The sequence below is a fragment of the Homo sapiens genome, chromosome 9 (genome assembly GCF_000001405.40).
Source record: "Homo sapiens chromosome 9, GRCh38.p14 Primary Assembly".
Lineage (NCBI taxonomy): Eukaryota > Metazoa > Chordata > Mammalia > Primates > Hominidae > Homo > Homo sapiens.
The window spans coordinates 134,800,422-134,816,253 of NC_000009.12; the positions used below are offsets into that span (position 1 = coordinate 134,800,422).

A 15,832-nucleotide genomic window follows, 5' to 3' on the forward strand; every position below is an offset into this window, starting at 1 on the left:
AGAGGCGAGCCCTCCTAGAGTTTGCAAAGAAGCTAAGTCTGGGCTGGGCACAGTGGCTCACGCCTGCAATCCCAACACTTTGGGAGGCCGAGATGGGCGGATCACCTGAGGTCGGGAGTTTGAGACCAGCCCGGCCAACATGGTGAAACCCCGTCTCTACTAAAAATACAAAAATTAGCCAGGCATGGTGGCAGGCACCTGTAATCCCAGCTACTCAGGAGGCTGAGGCAGGAGAATCGCTTGAATCCGGGAGGTGGAGGCTGCCGTGAGCCGAGATCGTGCCATTGCACTCCAGCCTGGGCAACAGGAGTGAAACTCTGTCTCAAACAAAAAAAAAAAAAAAAAAAAAAAAGAAGCTAGTCTGCTGTGGGTTCATGTGGCCCCGTGGCTTGGTGTGAGGTTTTGCCTCTGACTGCTGGACAGTGAGTCAGTGAGCCCAGGCCTGAGGCCGCTCACCCTCCAGCCCTAGCTTGGCCTCAGGGCCAGCCACCTTCTCCTCCAGCGTCTAGAGTTTGCCTCGAGGCCTCCGGGTAGAAGGTGTGCATGTCTCCACCAGTGTCATGTGGCACCTGCAGATGGCTTCTCGCTGGCACCTGTCATGCTCTGCAGACGTGCCTGGAAAAGAAGCTTATGTTGCCTTAAGGTCATCTTTCTCCTTTGAGGGAGAGTACAGAAGTCGTGGCGACACCCACAGCCAAGCCAGGATCGTTATCTACGCGTGAGCATGCAGAGCGGGCGTGAGATATTCCCGCTGAATCAAGCTAAAAATAACGCATCCAAGCTGCCGAGTTATGAAAGCAGCTGGCCCTCGCTCTTGCCTGTTTTAAATACATGCTGAGGAGCACGCGGGCAGAGTCACCCGTCGTGCATCAGAGGCGTTCACGCCAAAGCAGGTCAGTCGTCACAGAGCCACTGCTGAGAAACAGCCAGAGGTAGTCGCGGGTCCAGAAAGGGCACCAAGCCAACTCAGAAAAGGAGCGTTTGGTGACATGATAAAGGCGAATCGCGTCGGCCTAAAGATGCAGAGGCAGGAGAGCAGCCAGTGAGATGAGCTTGTGTGGCTTCGTTACCCTCGTGAAATTAGTGCAAACGCACGGTGGCTCACGCCTGTAATCCCCGCACTTTGGGAGGCTGAGGCAGGTGGATCACGAGGTCAGGAGTTCGAGGCCAGCCTGACCAACATGGTGAAATCCTGTCTCTACTAAAAATACAAAAATTTGCCAGGTGTGATGGTGTGTGCCTGTAATCCCAGCTACCCAGGAGGGTGAGGCAGGAGAATCACTTGAACCTGGGAGGCAGAGGTTGCAGTGACCCAAGATCGAGCCACTGCACTCCAGCCTGGGCGACAGAGCGAGACTCTCCATCTGAAAAAAAAAAAAATGAAACAAGAGACATGGGCCTCTTACACAAAGTCTGGAACATCTACTCTGGGGGGAAGGGAGGTGGGGGGCAAGCGTCCTGCTGAGAACAGTGCAGGGCAGGGTGGCGCAGGCCACTGCAGCACCGTCAGTGCAGTGACTCTCTCTTCACAGGGTTTCCAAGGCAAGACCGGCCCTCCAGGCCCCCCCGGCGTGGTCGGCCCTCAGGTAAGCTCCAGCCTTCCCAGATTCCATGGGTCACTCGGTGTCACTTGCCCACAGGGAAGAGGGTCCCAGCCCGGGCATCTGTTCCCTCCACGATTCCGGAGGTGCAGGTACTGCTGAGAGGTTATCTTAGGTCCTGAATGTTGGTCAGCGTGAGGCTCGCCCCACGCAGGAGCAAGCACAGATGTGTTTGCCCTCAACACAAACCCAACACGCAGGGCAAGGAAGGCTGCCCAAGGCTCACAGGGTGGCTGGGGCCAGACCTGGGCCAGCTCAGGAGCTGGGCTCATCCCTGCTGTGGGTGTCCAAGGCAGCCGAGTCCTCCTGCCACTGGTCCCTGTGGGTGTCACGGGCCTGCGATTCTAACCGCAGACCAGTGGCAGATCAGTGTCAGGGGCAGCTTAGAGCCAGGATTGATGGCTTAGAGCTGCAGAACGGGGAGGGGTCACCTTGTGTCCTAGAAAGCGCACACCTCATGTAGCGGTGAGTAAGACGTAGACCTGCTGCAGCCACAGAACTGAAGGGCATGTGGGCTCTGCCCCTGGTGTGGCTTTTCTCCCATCCTTGGCCTGTCCTGTGGCTGAATCAGCCTCCCTCAGGGCACATCCCAGGAAGGCAGGCTTGGCCGTGCCTCCTGAAGGCGCCAGGTGGGGGAAGAGGGCCACGCGGGGCCCAGCAGATGCCAGGCAGTGAGCAGCGTACCAACACCCACCCTCTAGATTTTTGCCGGGAAGAGAAGGCTTGCAAAGGCACTTGGAGGTTTGGTGTGCCCGCAGCAGACCTTTGCGTCCATGACCAGGGCTGTCCTTAGATTTAGGAAGAGATTCTCACTCCCTTGCAAGTCACTCGAAACGTCTGTGGCTGACACTGATTTTCCCCACAGGGTCCCACGGGAGAAACGGGCCCAATGGGTGAGCGTGGCCACCCTGGGCCCCCTGGACCCCCCGGTGAACAGGGGCTTCCGGGCCTTGCTGGAAAAGAAGGGACGAAGGTGAGTTTCTGGAGCCTTCTGTGTCAGCTCAGGCGTTTCCTCAGGAATCATTTTGGGACTTTGTGTTTTTCTTGCCCTTTTCTGATGAATGGGTAATTCGTCAAACAGACGCTTCTCATGCCGGTTCACTCCCCAGACCGCACGTTTTGCTCACTTTTCCTTGATTCACTCCAGGAGTCGCGCTGACCTGCTCAGGGATGGGCTTGAAGGGGGAGCGCAGGGGTCACCACCATCCTCCACCCTCTGCTCTCTCCCCAGCTGCCAGCCCTGCTCCCAGAAATGGATAAAAAGCTCTGGGACTTCATGTGTCCATAACACGTTTAGCAGAAAGTGGTCCTTTTAAAAACCCCTCACCCCAGCCAGGTGCAGTGGCTCACGCCTGTAATCCCAGCACTTTTGGAGGCTGAGGCAGGTGGATCACCTGAGGTCAGGAAGTTGAGACCAGCCTGGCCAACATGACGAAACCCCATCTGTACTAAAAATACAGAAATTAGCTGGGTGTGGTGGTGCGCACCTGTAATCCCACCTACTTGGGAGGCTGAGGCAGGAGAATCGCTTGAACCCGGGAGGCGGAGGTTGCAGTGTGCCAAGATCGTGCCAGTGCACTCCAGCCTGGTTAACACAAATGAAACTCTGTTTTTAAAAACAAAAAACAAAAAACACAGTGAAACCCCGTTTCTACTAAAAATACAAAAAAATTAGCTGGGTGTGGTGGCGGGCGCCTGTAGTCCCAGCTACTCGGGAGGCTGAGGCAGCAGAATGGTGTGAACTCGGGGGGCGGAGCTTGCAGTGAGCCGAGATCGCGCCACTGCACTCCAGCCTGGGCGACAGAGCGAGACTCCATCTCAAAAAAAAGAAAAAAAAACAGCCCTCACCCCAAGAGCCTGAGAAATTATAAAAGTGAAAAGCAAACGTGTTTTTATCCCACCTCTTGGTGCCAGCTCCAACTGCCCCCTTTTCATATCTCCTCCCCTGGGCGCCCCAGGTTCACTGGCCATAACTTGCTGTGTTAGCACAAAAATAGCCCTTCCCTTTCAGCTCTTCAATAAGGAATGCAACAAAGGCAAGCTCTCCAGCCTGTAGGACCACAGAAGAGTAAACCTGAAAAATAATAAAGTGAAGCAAATGAAGAAATACTGAAAAAAATCACACACCCGGGTGTGCATGTAGATATAGGAATAAATACACATGTGTACATGCACACGTGTGTGTATTCTAGACACAAAGAGAGCTCTCCGAGCTTGGAAAGGCGGCCACGGGCATTTGACCTGCTCGTTTGAAAACAGCACTGTGCTCCATGTTGGACCCCAGAGAACATTTTGGAAGATATCAAAGCTTTACTGTACCTCAGGGAAAGTCGAGGCTAAGGGGTGACTTTTTTTCAGAAAATGTGGTTTCGGGCTTGAAGAAGTTCCTTAAGTGATAAGTCCATTTAGGACGATGCTTTTAATGCTATTTCGACCATGGATTTCTTTGTCTGAGCACGGTCTTACAAGGAGCCCCAAATCTATGGAAAAGATAGACGTGCCCTCAGCTCCCACATGGCCCATCGTAGCCCTTAAGGGCCTTGGGAGGAAGGACCCCGGAACTCCGTGGAGCAGGGGTAGAGTCAGATTTGCACGCAGAGCCCGCCAGATGAGCGTGGCTTCCAGGTGGAGGCTCAGGCTGTGCTCCCACGTGTGGGCTGCTGAGTCCAGTCACGACTCTGAAAAGTGGCCAGGAGAAGCCCAATCCAACCCAAGTCCAGGAGTGTCTGATGAGAAGGCCCCGACCCTTGGCCTTGCTCCGGGGCTGGTGAGAGGTCTGTGTCGCTGGCTCCAGGAGAGAAGGCCCCAACCCTTGGCCTCGCTCTGGGACTGGTGAGAGGTCTGCGTTGCTGGCTCCAAGAGAGAAGGCCCCAGCCCTTGGCTTCGCTCTGGGGCTGGTGAGAGGTCTGCGTCACTGGCTCCAGGAAAGCTCATCTCTGACTCTGTTTTCAGGGTGACCCAGGCCCTGCAGGCCTCCCTGGGAAAGATGGCCCTCCAGGATTACGTGGTTTCCCTGGGGACCGAGGGCTTCCTGGTCCAGTGGTGAGTGAGAGGCCAGGCGGGGAATGAAATGGGACAGGTGCAGCCCTGGAGGCCTCTCCCCACGTGCCCTTGACCAACCTTTTCATGGCTTTGCAGGGAGCTCTTGGACTGAAAGGCAATGAAGGGCCCCCTGGCCCACCAGGCCCTGCGGTGAGTCAAAGCCTTTGTCCCATCCTCTTTCTTGAATCCTACTCTCCAGGTCAGAAGGGGCAGTCCCCGAGAGCCCAGAGCATGCAGCTGCCCCAGACCCCCGAGGAGCCTGGGGAGGATGTGGAGGGGGGAAAATGGCCTTCAGGGAGATGCGGACGGCGCATCCCAAGCTGGCAGCCAGGATGACGAAGGGTCCCAGGGGCACACCGAGGAAAGGAGAGTGCTGGGCAGCCTGGAGGGCGGGAGGAGCCACTCTGTGTTGCCTGTGGAGCATGCTCCCTGGAGGAGCAAGGAGAAAGCCTACACACCTATCGTGGGTCTGGGCTGGGCCAGCAGGGGAAGAAACAGACACGGGTCTGCAGGGACTCTGAAGATGCACGCTAAAGCCAGGCTGCCCACGGCGGGGGCCCACTGGGCAGGATGGCCCTCACGATTAGGCCAGGTACCCACCCATCCATATGCCAGCCCCCAGGCAAGGCATCCCCTAGAAAACGCACCCCATGGAGGAGCACAGCAGAGAGGGGAGTGGGTGCCCCATGGGCATGGGGGCCCTGGAGGGGAGGGGTTGCCCTGCAGGCATGTGGGCCCTGGAGGAGAGGGGGTGCCCCGTGGGCTCTAGAGGGAAGGGGGTGCCTCACAGACATGTGGGCCCTGGAGGAGAGAGGGTGCCCCGTGGGCAGACCCTCAAGGGGAGGGGGTGCCAGGCTTCTAGAAGAGGGAGCCCATTGAAGGCAAGCACACCACAGGGCACACTGTCAGACACCAGGGGGAGGAGCACCTGGGAGCTTGGAGTTACAGGAAGACACAGAGCCCCGAACGCTAGACCAGGTAGTCTGTGCTTGCAAAGGGCCATAGGGAGCCACTGTGGGCTCTAGAGTGAGCAGGTAAGTGGAGTGATCAGCTGGTGCTTTACAAAGTCACGACCACGCAGTCTGAGAGCCTTTGAAGCAGACTGTTTTCTTGCTCCACCTCAGGGATCTCCAGGGGAGAGAGGTCCAGCTGGAGCCGCTGGGCCCATCGGAATTCCAGGGAGACCTGGGCCCCAGGGACCCCCAGGGCCGGCAGGAGAGAAAGGGGCTCCTGTAAGTACTGCCTTGGATTGGGGGAGCCCTTCCCTCAGAGATGCTGGGGTCGTTCCGTGTCTGGCCTTGTCCCTCCCCCTGTGATGTCCCCAGGGGTATTTCCTTGGGATTGGGGATGGGGTGGGGTCTGCGGCCCTCTAGGACAGAGCGTGTGTCCCATGGGAACCTGGTGACCTGCCTGAGGAGCACAGGAGGAGTCCTGGTGCCGGCCACATTCTTTCCGCCATCAGCTGAGCCAGAGGAGCCCTGTGGGATGATGTTGGGCCGGTCTCAGCCTGTCCACGCGTGCATGCTGGTGTTCCCCACATGCGTGGACAGAGGAAGGGGCCGAAGACAGTCAGTGCGCTGTGGACTTGGTCTCCGTCCAGCCTCAGTGCCACCTGTGTGGTCGGGCCACAGCTGCCCACTGTGTGAACTGTTCCCTGCTGCTGGCCCAGACCCATGGCTGGGCTCTTCCTAGGAAAGGATGTTTGGAACCGGGGAGTCCTGTTTCTTGGTTGGGGGGCAGGTGTAGAGAGCAGATGTCCAGCAAAGAAGGGGCAGGGGATGGGTGGATAACGGAAAGACAAGGCGCCTCCCTCTGTGTCCAGGAAAGCCCACCTGCTGGTAAGCCCCGAATTTTGCAGGCTTTGTGAAGCCTCGGGAGTGGGGAGGAGCATGTCTTGAGGCCACCCAGATCTTGGTCTCCAAGAAGGAGATGAGCGAGCGCCCTTTTTGCCTAGATGCTTCCTGCTAGCCTGCTTTCGTGAATAACCCACAAAATGCCACTTACCGTCCAGAAGTGGTCCACCCTGACCCGTATTTGGCTTCTGCCACACAATTTTGCAGTGTCCCCTACCTCTGCATTCAATCAGCTCTGGAGACCAATTTAATCTCAACTTCTCCTTCCCAGTACAGAGGGTCAGAATGAGCTTGAGTTCTCCAGGGGAATTGGCAGATAATCGGTGCAGACCATCTCAAATTGAGTTAGGTCTGAGTGCTGATTGTTAGAAAGCTGTTTTCTTTCTCTTTTTTTGAGATGGAGTCTTGCTGTGTCACCCAGGCTGGAGTGCAGTGGCGCAATCTCGGCTCACTGTGACCTCCACCTCCTGGGTTCAAGCAATTCTCCTGCCTCAGCCTCCCCAGTAGCTGGGATTACAGATGTGTGCTACCACACCCGGCTACTTTTGTACTTTTAGTAGAGATGGGGTTTCGCCATGTTGGCCAGGCTGGTCTCGAACTCCTGACCTCAAGTGATCTACCCGCCTCAGCCTCCCAAGGTGCTGGGATTACAGGCGTGAGCCACTGCGCCCAGCCAGAAACTGTGATTTTCTTGTACGTTTCACTCTCAGTGGCTCATGGGTGGCAGGAACAGCCTACATTCCCTGGGCAGGAACTTCCCTGGAAACCACATTGGAAACATCTGGGCCATTGAGAATCTGTTCAATACATTATTGGCAATTTTGGTGTCTTCTAATCATTTCCAGTGAGGCACCCAGGACATGGATCCAGCTGGATTCTGTGCCAGAAAACTGAAGCCAACTGGGCAGTCAGTGTATAGAGTGCACACAAAGTCAGCTGGAAATGGCTTGGTTCACAGTTTCAAGAGAGTAAATATTTGAGCAGAAACCTTGCAAGAGTTGCTCTATCCAGGCAGAAGCTCGTCATCCTCCCAGAATAGCTCCAGAGGGAAGGAAAGGCCAAGCAAAGGTTGGACGTCTCTGAGAACTCCCGACCTGACCAGGAATGTAGGACAGGAAGCTTCCACAAAAGCCCCACACGTGGTCTTTGCATTCTCTGGCTTAAGTAGGGTAGACATTTCTATGAATAGGAGCTCAGTTTGAGGAGCAGGACATGAATTGTGGAGGGAGGAATGGTAAGACGAAATAGTGATGGATGACTAAATCCCGGCTACATTTAGACCAGAACATTGAATGTACATTCTCTATTCCATGTTTCCCTTCCCAATGTGCACACCCTCCTTCTGTGTATCTGTCGGAAGATAGGGATCCCTGTCTGCAGTGAGAAAATATAGGCTGCTCACAGAGTGATGCGATGGCTGGTCAAACTGAGCAAAGCAAGAACTTAAGAAGGATCATTTGAGATTACCAAGCAGGCAGTTAGGAGGAAAATGAATCAAAGTTACAAGGACAGGAAAAATAGTGTGTGCGTATGCCTGCAAGCATGTCCTGTGTGTGTACCTGTGCGTGCATACTCATGTATGCATGCACATACATGTCAGTGTGCTTCTTTATATGTCCTTGTGTGTACATGTTGGTGCATATTCACACGTGTGCACATGTTGGTGCATATTCACACGTGTGCACATGCGAGTATGCTTGTTTTGTGCACATGCATGTGCATGCATGCATACCTGTGTACATAGGCGTGTTCACATGTGTGCATGTATGCACATGTGTGTGCGTACATGTCTTCATGTGTGAGCATGCATGTCCTTGTGTGTGTGTGCAGGGAGAGTGTCTGCAGAGAATGTAAAGAATCAGAAAGCTGGTGAAAGCTGGAGCTCAGGCTATCCTGGTGACTGGGCTTGGCTCCCGGTCACTAGCTTAGACAATCCACATACAGGCTCAAGAATTTGGCCGGCTGGATTTGGATCCTGTCTCTACTGCTCACTAACTGTGCCTCAGTTTCCCCATCTGTAAAAGAGCAGCCTTTCCTAGGATGAGTGTGGATTAATTGAAGCGATGCACCAGAAGTTCATGGTCCAGGGGCGGGCTCAGAGTCGGCCCTCAGTGGCCCTGGCTGAAATCCATTAGGACTGTGGGGACGGTCACCCTCACCAACTCCCACTTCCTGCCAGCGGATCCCTCTCTTGGGTAATGAGCTGGTGGGGGGATGTTCCCAGGTTGGAGCCACGTTTGACCTGAGATCTTCTGTATTCTCTAGGGCGAGAAAGGCCCACAAGGCCCAGCTGGCCGAGACGGTCTCCAGGGGCCTGTGGGGCTCCCGGGTCCAGCTGGCCCTGTGGGTCCCCCTGGAGAAGACGGAGATAAGGTAAGGCAAATCCAGAGTGACCCATGGCTGGGCCTGGCTGGGCAGACGGGTGTGGGGGAGGGTGGTGAATTTAAAGGACAGGATGCTGGCAGGTAGAGCGGCTCAGCCAGCGGAGTGATGCCACACCCACCCCGCAGTCCTGGCATTAGGGGATGATTTCACAGCAGCCCACTGGTAAATGGTAATACACGCCGTCCCCGGCACGCTCGAGGGACTTAGAAACCACACCCTCCTGTGTCATTTTGAGGTTGCCTGCAACATTTGCTGTGAGTAGCCACAGCAGAGAAAAATGCTCCCCGGTCCCCCCGAATAATTTCAAATTCCGAAACTGCGGAGCCCGGTTTAATGAGGTTTTGCTCAGTATCTATTTTTAAATGTCTCCGCTTGAATTATCCAGGCTCCCGTTCATTAAGAATGTGCTTTATAATTCCAAAACGATGGCTGCAGGAGCTTGCATTTTATCCTTCATTTAACGCAGACAGTGAAATTTCGCTGTGCTGTAACTTTCTATTGATGACCCCTCTCTGGGGACATTTCTGACTTTGTCACCTCTGCATGGATAATGCCTTACATCTCCGGGCGGGAGACAGCCTTGCACCGACAGGAACAACAGAGAGGATTTTAATAACTTCTTCGGCAACATAGTAATTGAGTTGCCTGTTGTTAGGTTGTCATGGTAGTGGCCCAATTTGAAAAACAGAGTAAATATTTTCAATATGACTTTTCCCACATCTTCAAGTCTACTAAAAGCCTGTCGAGCATCAGATCGAGACCTCGTCCCTTTTAGCCCTTGTATTAAAAAGGAAATCAAGCTAATATATGGAAACATTTATTCGTAGGAAAGTTTTAGGGCCACCTGGAAAGGACACTGTTCTTAATCTCCAAGAAAAATTCATTACGGGGAACAGAAAAGGTCCAAACGGTTGTCAAGCTTTCTAACCGAATCCCCCACACCTTCCCCTAGGGAGAGATCGGGGAGCCGGGGCAGAAAGGAAGCAAGGGGGACAAAGGAGAACAGGTAAGTATTGGCACGGGGGCGCGCGGCAGCCCCCAGGTCCCGGGGGGCCTCGTCGCAGGCTGTAGGCCGTGTGCCATGCACGTTCTCTTCCAACGTTGCTGATGACTAGCGGGACATGCTGTGAAAATCTCCCGTGCATGTGTGTTCCCACAACGTGTGTGTGTGCACACGCGTGCATATCTGGGAGTGAGTCTCTCTGTGTTAGAATGAACAGGAAGCATCCACCGGTTTTGCGAAATTAAATAAATGGAGTGTTTCTGTCCTAGAGGGCTTGGGTTCTGCAGACACACCCATTGCCCTCTGAGGTGAGGGAACCAGAATGCTCCGGCAGAGACAGCACCATTGACCAAATGCCTGTTCATTTTTCCCCTTTTGGTTTTTTCATCTGTTCAGAAATCCTAGTGGGTTCTTGCAAAAACCCCATGACTCTGCTACCAGCTCCCTCCCGATGAGTGACATGTCTTCTTATCCTGTACAGCCAGGCCTTTCCCCCAGTATGTTGATTCCTAGGCAAGCAGGATCCGTGCTCCTGGGAGGCCTGCCACAGAGGCTGTGTCCTTCTTCCAGCCGTGGGTTGGGCTACCAGGGCCAAGGGCACTGTACCCTCCTTGCTTGCCTCCTTCCCATGGTCCCATGCGGGAGGTCTCTTGAGGATGGCACAGCAGGGGACATGGTGCTGGGCGCAAGGGCTCCAGAGGAGCTTGTGATCCTGGACCCTCACTGTTGAAGGGGGCCTCACGTGCCCCTGTTGTGGGTGCATGATGGGAGCTGAGATGACACACGGTGGTCTCGAGAGACATTGGGGGCAGCTCTTTGCCATCCAGAAATGGGCTCAGGGTGGAACCAAGATCCTCATCTGCTTCCCAGAGCCTGCAGCAGGCTTGCATCGTGGTGCAAGGAACGACACATTTGGAGACTGAACTGACGACGTTGGATGCATCAGTCCCCGGGCTCAGGATGCGGTCCACCCCTCCCTCAGCCTTATCCACGATCCAAGAAGCTACCTATGTCTCTGTCTTGTTCCCCGCAGGGTCCTCCTGGGCCTACAGGTCCTCAAGGCCCCATCGGACAGCCAGGCCCCTCTGTGAGTATCCATGGTCAATGACCTTCGAAAAGCCCCACGCCCCCCCAGAGCTGCTGGCATTGCCAGCATCCTCACCCATGGCCGGTTATTTCCCTGCAGGGAGCTGACGGCGAGCCGGGGCCTCGGGGCCAGCAGGGCCTTTTCGGGCAGAAAGGTGATGAAGGTCCCAGAGGCTTTCCTGGACCCCCTGGGCCAGTGGGGCTGCAGGTAACTGTGGGGTTCTCACCACACCGGGCTCCTCCGCTTCTGACGCCCCCTGTGTCTTCATTGTGCTCTCTCCTCTTGTCTTTTTAAGAATGGAAAACTAAAGCCAGGCTGCAGGGGGCCTCCTGGGCCTCCTCATTCCAACTGGAAGTGCTGTAGCTTCCCAGAATTCCAGACATGCCCGCATTTACCACACTTCAGCAGTGGCATTTATTTCTGTGCTCATTGTGGAAACTGATGATTCGTGAGAAACATAGTAACAGTGACTTCTAAATGCACCTCCTAGAGATGACAACGATAAACATTTGGGCATGTTTCATGGCCATGCCTTTTAAATGTGTGTATTCTCATGCACAGAGGCGCATATGTAATTGTATTTGGTGTTTGACAATGAATCATGTCATAAGTCAGAGAGAAAGTTTGTTCCCAGCTTTCCCCATTTTCCATCCTCCATTCCCGTTTTATGTTACGAGTGTGTTGAATGCCATTACACATGACTTTCTATTTATTTGGAAAACATGATTTTTAGTCACTGCACAGTAAGCCAGCATCTGGTGGTGACATAATTTACCCAGGCGTCCCCTGCTGGCTCCTTAGGCTTTATTGTTTTATGGGTTCCTGCCATAATCACCTTTGTCGTAAATCTTTGCAATCTTCTCTGCTTATTTCCTCGGGCCGATTCTGAGACTGGGAACCCCGGGACGTCCTCGTGGGTAGCTATGCACAGAGAAGCACCTTCCCGGGGCTTCGGGGGCTCAGTGGTGCTGTGTGGGTGGAGGTCGTGAAAGCTGTGTGTGTGTTTGACATACACATGACAGAACAGCGCTTAACTGGGAAGTTTCCTGTTCTCAGGGTTTGCCAGGACCTCCAGGCGAGAAGGGTGAGACAGGAGACGTGGGCCAGATGGTAAGTGTGCCTGAGACTCCAAGGCCTTGCCGTACTAGCGGCTCATGTTTTGGGGAAACATTTGCGTTTCCTCTGGGCTCAGTGGTCTCTCCCTTTTCCTAGGGCCCCCCGGGTCCCCCTGGCCCCCGAGGACCCTCCGGAGCTCCAGGTGCTGATGGCCCACAAGGTCCCCCAGGTGGAATAGGAAACCCTGGTGCAGTGGGAGAGAAGGTGAGGCTCGTGCCTGCTCTGGTGGCAGATTTGCGGTTGTTTGAGGAGTGTGTGTGTGTGTCTGTGTGTGTGTGTCTGTGTGTATGTGTATGTGCGCATGCACACGCTTGTGGGGGTGCATACACGTGTGTGTACCTCTCTGTGTGTACACAGAGATGAGAAGTACTCATTTCTGTGGGCATGGCTGGTTTATTCCTATGAAGGGCATTTTGAAATGTAGGCAGATGCTTGTGAAATGGAACTGGGAACTCTGACTGTCCATTTGTGACAGCCTTTTGCAGAATTTCCAGACGATGCCCCACCAGCAAAGCCCCTGCCTCCTCCAAGACTCAGCTCTGGTGGAGATCATCTATTCCTTAAATAACTGGTGTTTCTAAGCTTGCAGTTTCCATTTCAGCCGAATTATTTTCTCAAATGGGTCCTCTCCATTTGATCTGATTGGTTTTGGAGCCCAGACTCCATGAGCGTCATGGACCCAGTCGTGTGTGTGTGTGTGCCTGTGTGTGTGAGCTCCTGTGTGCACATCGGTGCATGTGTGTGTGCCTGCATGCTGGGTGGGACAGCATTTGCCTGACTGCAAAAGCACCTCTCCCAGTTCCCCTGGACAAGAGGGAAGACAGAGTGTACATCCATGCACTTGAGCCCCCTGTGCACCGTTTCCAGAGCTTTCTTTCTGACATCAATCAGGCCATTAAATTGGAAGACGCCTTCCACCGCTGCTCATTTTTTATGATACAGAAATTAAAGAGGAATATGCCCTGCTGAGACCACAGGGTGATGGTGTGCGGCTTCTGCTCAGAGAGGCGGTGTTTTCCTTGGTGTCCCCGCTGTAGGGCGCATGTTTCTGTTCACCTGCTGCCACTGTGCATGCCCTCTTCCCTGCGTCCCTCTGGCCTGTGTCCCTGAGGACTGCGTGCCTGTCCTCCTGCCTCGGCCCTGGCCATCCCCCACCTGGAGTGCCATCCTAGCCACTTACCAGCTTCTCATAGTTGCCCTCCACAACCCTTGGAGCAGCGCTCCGGGAAAGCCTTCACAGACAGTGTTGCTTGCAGTCTGGACACTCTGCCCTGTATCCATCACGTGCCTGCCACATTCCTCACGCACCTCCAATTCTGGGAGTGTGTGGGGACAGCACTCCCCAGAAACCCCTGGGTCCTGGGTGCCCAGGGGCAGGCAGACAGCAGGCAGGATTTGGCAAATGCTTGAAACCGTAGCACTGCGTTCATCGCGGTGCTCACCGCTGCCATAACCACATGCACTGTCTCCCTAGGGCGAGCCTGGCGAAGCAGGTGAGCCTGGCCTTCCGGGAGAAGGCGGCCCCCCGGTGAGTGAGCGGGCGCTGCGGGAGGGGTGGGATATGGCCGAGCGGGTGTGTGGACGGGGTGCTGGGTTGGAGGCTCTGGCTCTGCCTTAGCTTTTCCATCCACGAAATGGGAGTTGTAACCCCTCTTGTGCCCATTTCATGGAATGACCGTGAACAAGGTGTGTGATGTGGGAGTCAGCATGTACACGCAGACCTAGCAATAGCTACCTGTGCCCAGTGGCCTGCAGTAACTCTACCCTCTGTAGTGTTTGCTCCTGGCCCCTTCGCGGGGCAGCTGCTGTCACCTCGTCCCCCCGGACCTTGAGGGCCAGACTAGGAATATCCAGGCCTTCTCAGGCCAGATGAATGTTCACTATGAGGCCAGCCCAAAGGTGGCTTTCAGGCCCAGGACCAGCTGGGTGGACTCGGGTCTTCTGGTTCTAGCTGCTCCCTCCCCATGAGATCCGTGGAGTCTGTGGGCACCCCTTGTGGTCTTCACTGACTGATGTCTGGTCCAGGAGTCAGTCCCTCCCACCCAGAGCTGAATCTCAGGCTTTGAGGGCCCCAGAAAGTGAAGGCTCCTCAGGTCCCCCTCAGGGTGCACACAGGAGCTGATTCTGCCCAGGGCTTGGGGAGCGACCTGGCAGCCAGCCCCCTGCAGGGCTCAGCAGATACTTGGAAAGGCTGGTCTGAATGGGGTGAGAAAACCGGGGAGGCCCACCTTGCTCTGGGCGGCGACGTGGTTGGCTCTGAGGACTTGACACTGGCCTCTTTCCTCCAGGGACCCAAAGGAGAAAGGGGAGAGAAGGGCGAGTCAGGCCCTTCAGGTGCTGCCGGACCCCCTGGACCCAAAGGCCCTCCCGGAGATGATGGTCCCAAAGGCAGCCCTGTGAGTATTCCAGACACACCTCAGGGGCCCTGCAGCAGGGGCGGGGCTCTGCACTGGGATCATTCTGACTCACTGGCGGTGCACTCTGCTCTGAGAACAGCTTCAAGACCATTCCATGTGTTGGGTAAATTTTCTAGACACTAGAGGTTTTCATACCAGCTACTGAACCAAAATAGTGGAGATGAGACAGGGCGTGGACTGGAGGAGAAAGCCCTGAGTGATTCTTCTCTGTGGGCCAGGCGGCCGGCTGAGATGCACGAGTGACAGCCAGGCTTTGGGAAGTTGCCCCCGCCCTTGGCCGGCCCTGATTTTGCATCAGGAGGGGCTTCGGAGAGGCACATTCCGGAAGTCTGAAGGTCCAGGTTCTAGTTGCAGCCTGGAGCTCCCAGGAATAGACCTGTGGGCGGAACGCCTGCCCCTTGCTTGGCTCTGGAAAGCAAGAGACCAGCTGACCCCTGCCATGCCCACTGGCCAGGCTTGCTGGCTCTGGGACATGCTGCACGTGGAAGGGTCTCTGGGCCATAAAGTGCACTGGGTTGTCGGAACTGCTGGAAAGTCTTAGGAGCTGGACGGTGGCAGGTGGCCATCTTGAGGTGGTGACATGATTGGCCGTGTGTGGTCTCAGTCAGGTTGCTGATGGCCTTGGCTGCTTCCTTCTTTCTTCCTTTCAGGGCCCAGTGGGTTTTCCTGGAGATCCTGGCCCCCCCGGAGAGCCTGGCCCCGCGGTAGGTGCTCAAGAGGGCAAAGCCACCGGATCCCCCACAGTGCTGGCCTGCCTCTGCCAGCCCCATTTCCCCTCTTTCTGGTGGTTCTTTGTGATGAACTCCCACTGGGGCAGGCAATGTCCCAAAAGGCACTCGTGTTCCGGTGATCAGAGCAAGAAAACGCCTTTGACCCCACTGACCATGCTCTGTGCTGGCACCAGAATGGATTTGGGTTTTGGGAAGGGGCTGGAGATGCATTGGGAACTGGTGCATGAACTCAGGGTGCCATCCGGGGTTCAGCAAGGAGCTCGCTTTTGCCTCCATAGGGTCAAGATGGTCCCCCTGGTGACAAAGGAGATGATGGTGAACCCGGGCAGACGGTGAGTCCACAATCTGGGCTGGCTTCCTGGTGGAGGTGTCAGTGTATTCTTGGGACCTTGCAGCTTGCTTGACTCATTTCTGGGAAAAACTCCAACCTAGTTGATATTGATTCCTTTATGATATCGATTCCCTTATGATATTGATTCCCTTATGATGTTGATTCCCTTATGATATTGATTCTGGACAGTGACAGAGCTCATGAACTCCCTCTGAGATGCACGTGCTGTCTCAGCAGCAGGTTTGCAGGCAGCCCCAGGGCTTCCA

At 55.1% G+C, this 15,832-nt stretch overlaps 1 protein-coding gene across 3 annotated transcripts in view, besides 1 other annotated feature; it reads left to right on the plus strand.

The window, feature by feature from the left end:
- The window catches only part of COL5A1 (collagen type V alpha 1 chain), a 203,041-nt gene that overhangs the window by 158,619 nt on the left and 28,590 nt on the right, over positions 1-15,832 (plus strand). For all 3 annotated transcript variants that reach the window (NM_000093.5, XM_017014266.3, NM_001278074.1), the window contains exons 38-52: positions 1,533-1,586; positions 2,467-2,574; positions 4,554-4,643; positions 4,740-4,793; positions 5,768-5,875; positions 8,762-8,869; positions 9,834-9,887; positions 10,918-10,971; positions 11,071-11,178; positions 12,028-12,081; positions 12,184-12,291; positions 13,562-13,615; positions 14,376-14,483; positions 15,155-15,208; positions 15,514-15,567. In NM_000093.5, coding sequence (NP_000084.3) covers positions 1,533-1,586; positions 2,467-2,574; positions 4,554-4,643; positions 4,740-4,793; positions 5,768-5,875; positions 8,762-8,869; positions 9,834-9,887; positions 10,918-10,971; positions 11,071-11,178; positions 12,028-12,081; positions 12,184-12,291; positions 13,562-13,615; positions 14,376-14,483; positions 15,155-15,208; positions 15,514-15,567 — 1,170 coding nt within the window. The remainder of the gene's footprint in view (positions 1-1,532; positions 1,587-2,466; positions 2,575-4,553; positions 4,644-4,739; positions 4,794-5,767; positions 5,876-8,761; positions 8,870-9,833; positions 9,888-10,917; positions 10,972-11,070; positions 11,179-12,027; positions 12,082-12,183; positions 12,292-13,561; positions 13,616-14,375; positions 14,484-15,154; positions 15,209-15,513; positions 15,568-15,832) is intronic.
- Positions 4,252-4,752: an enhancer, noted in NCBI's record as "H3K4me1 hESC enhancer chr9:137696519-137697019 (GRCh37/hg19 assembly coordinates)". NCBI's record gives its function as "activates a minimal SCP1, AML or CMV promoter by ChIP-STARR-seq in primed H9 embryonic stem cells {active_cell/tissue: H9 hESC(primed)}" and the evidence as "EXISTENCE:reporter gene assay evidence [ECO:0000049][PMID:30033119]".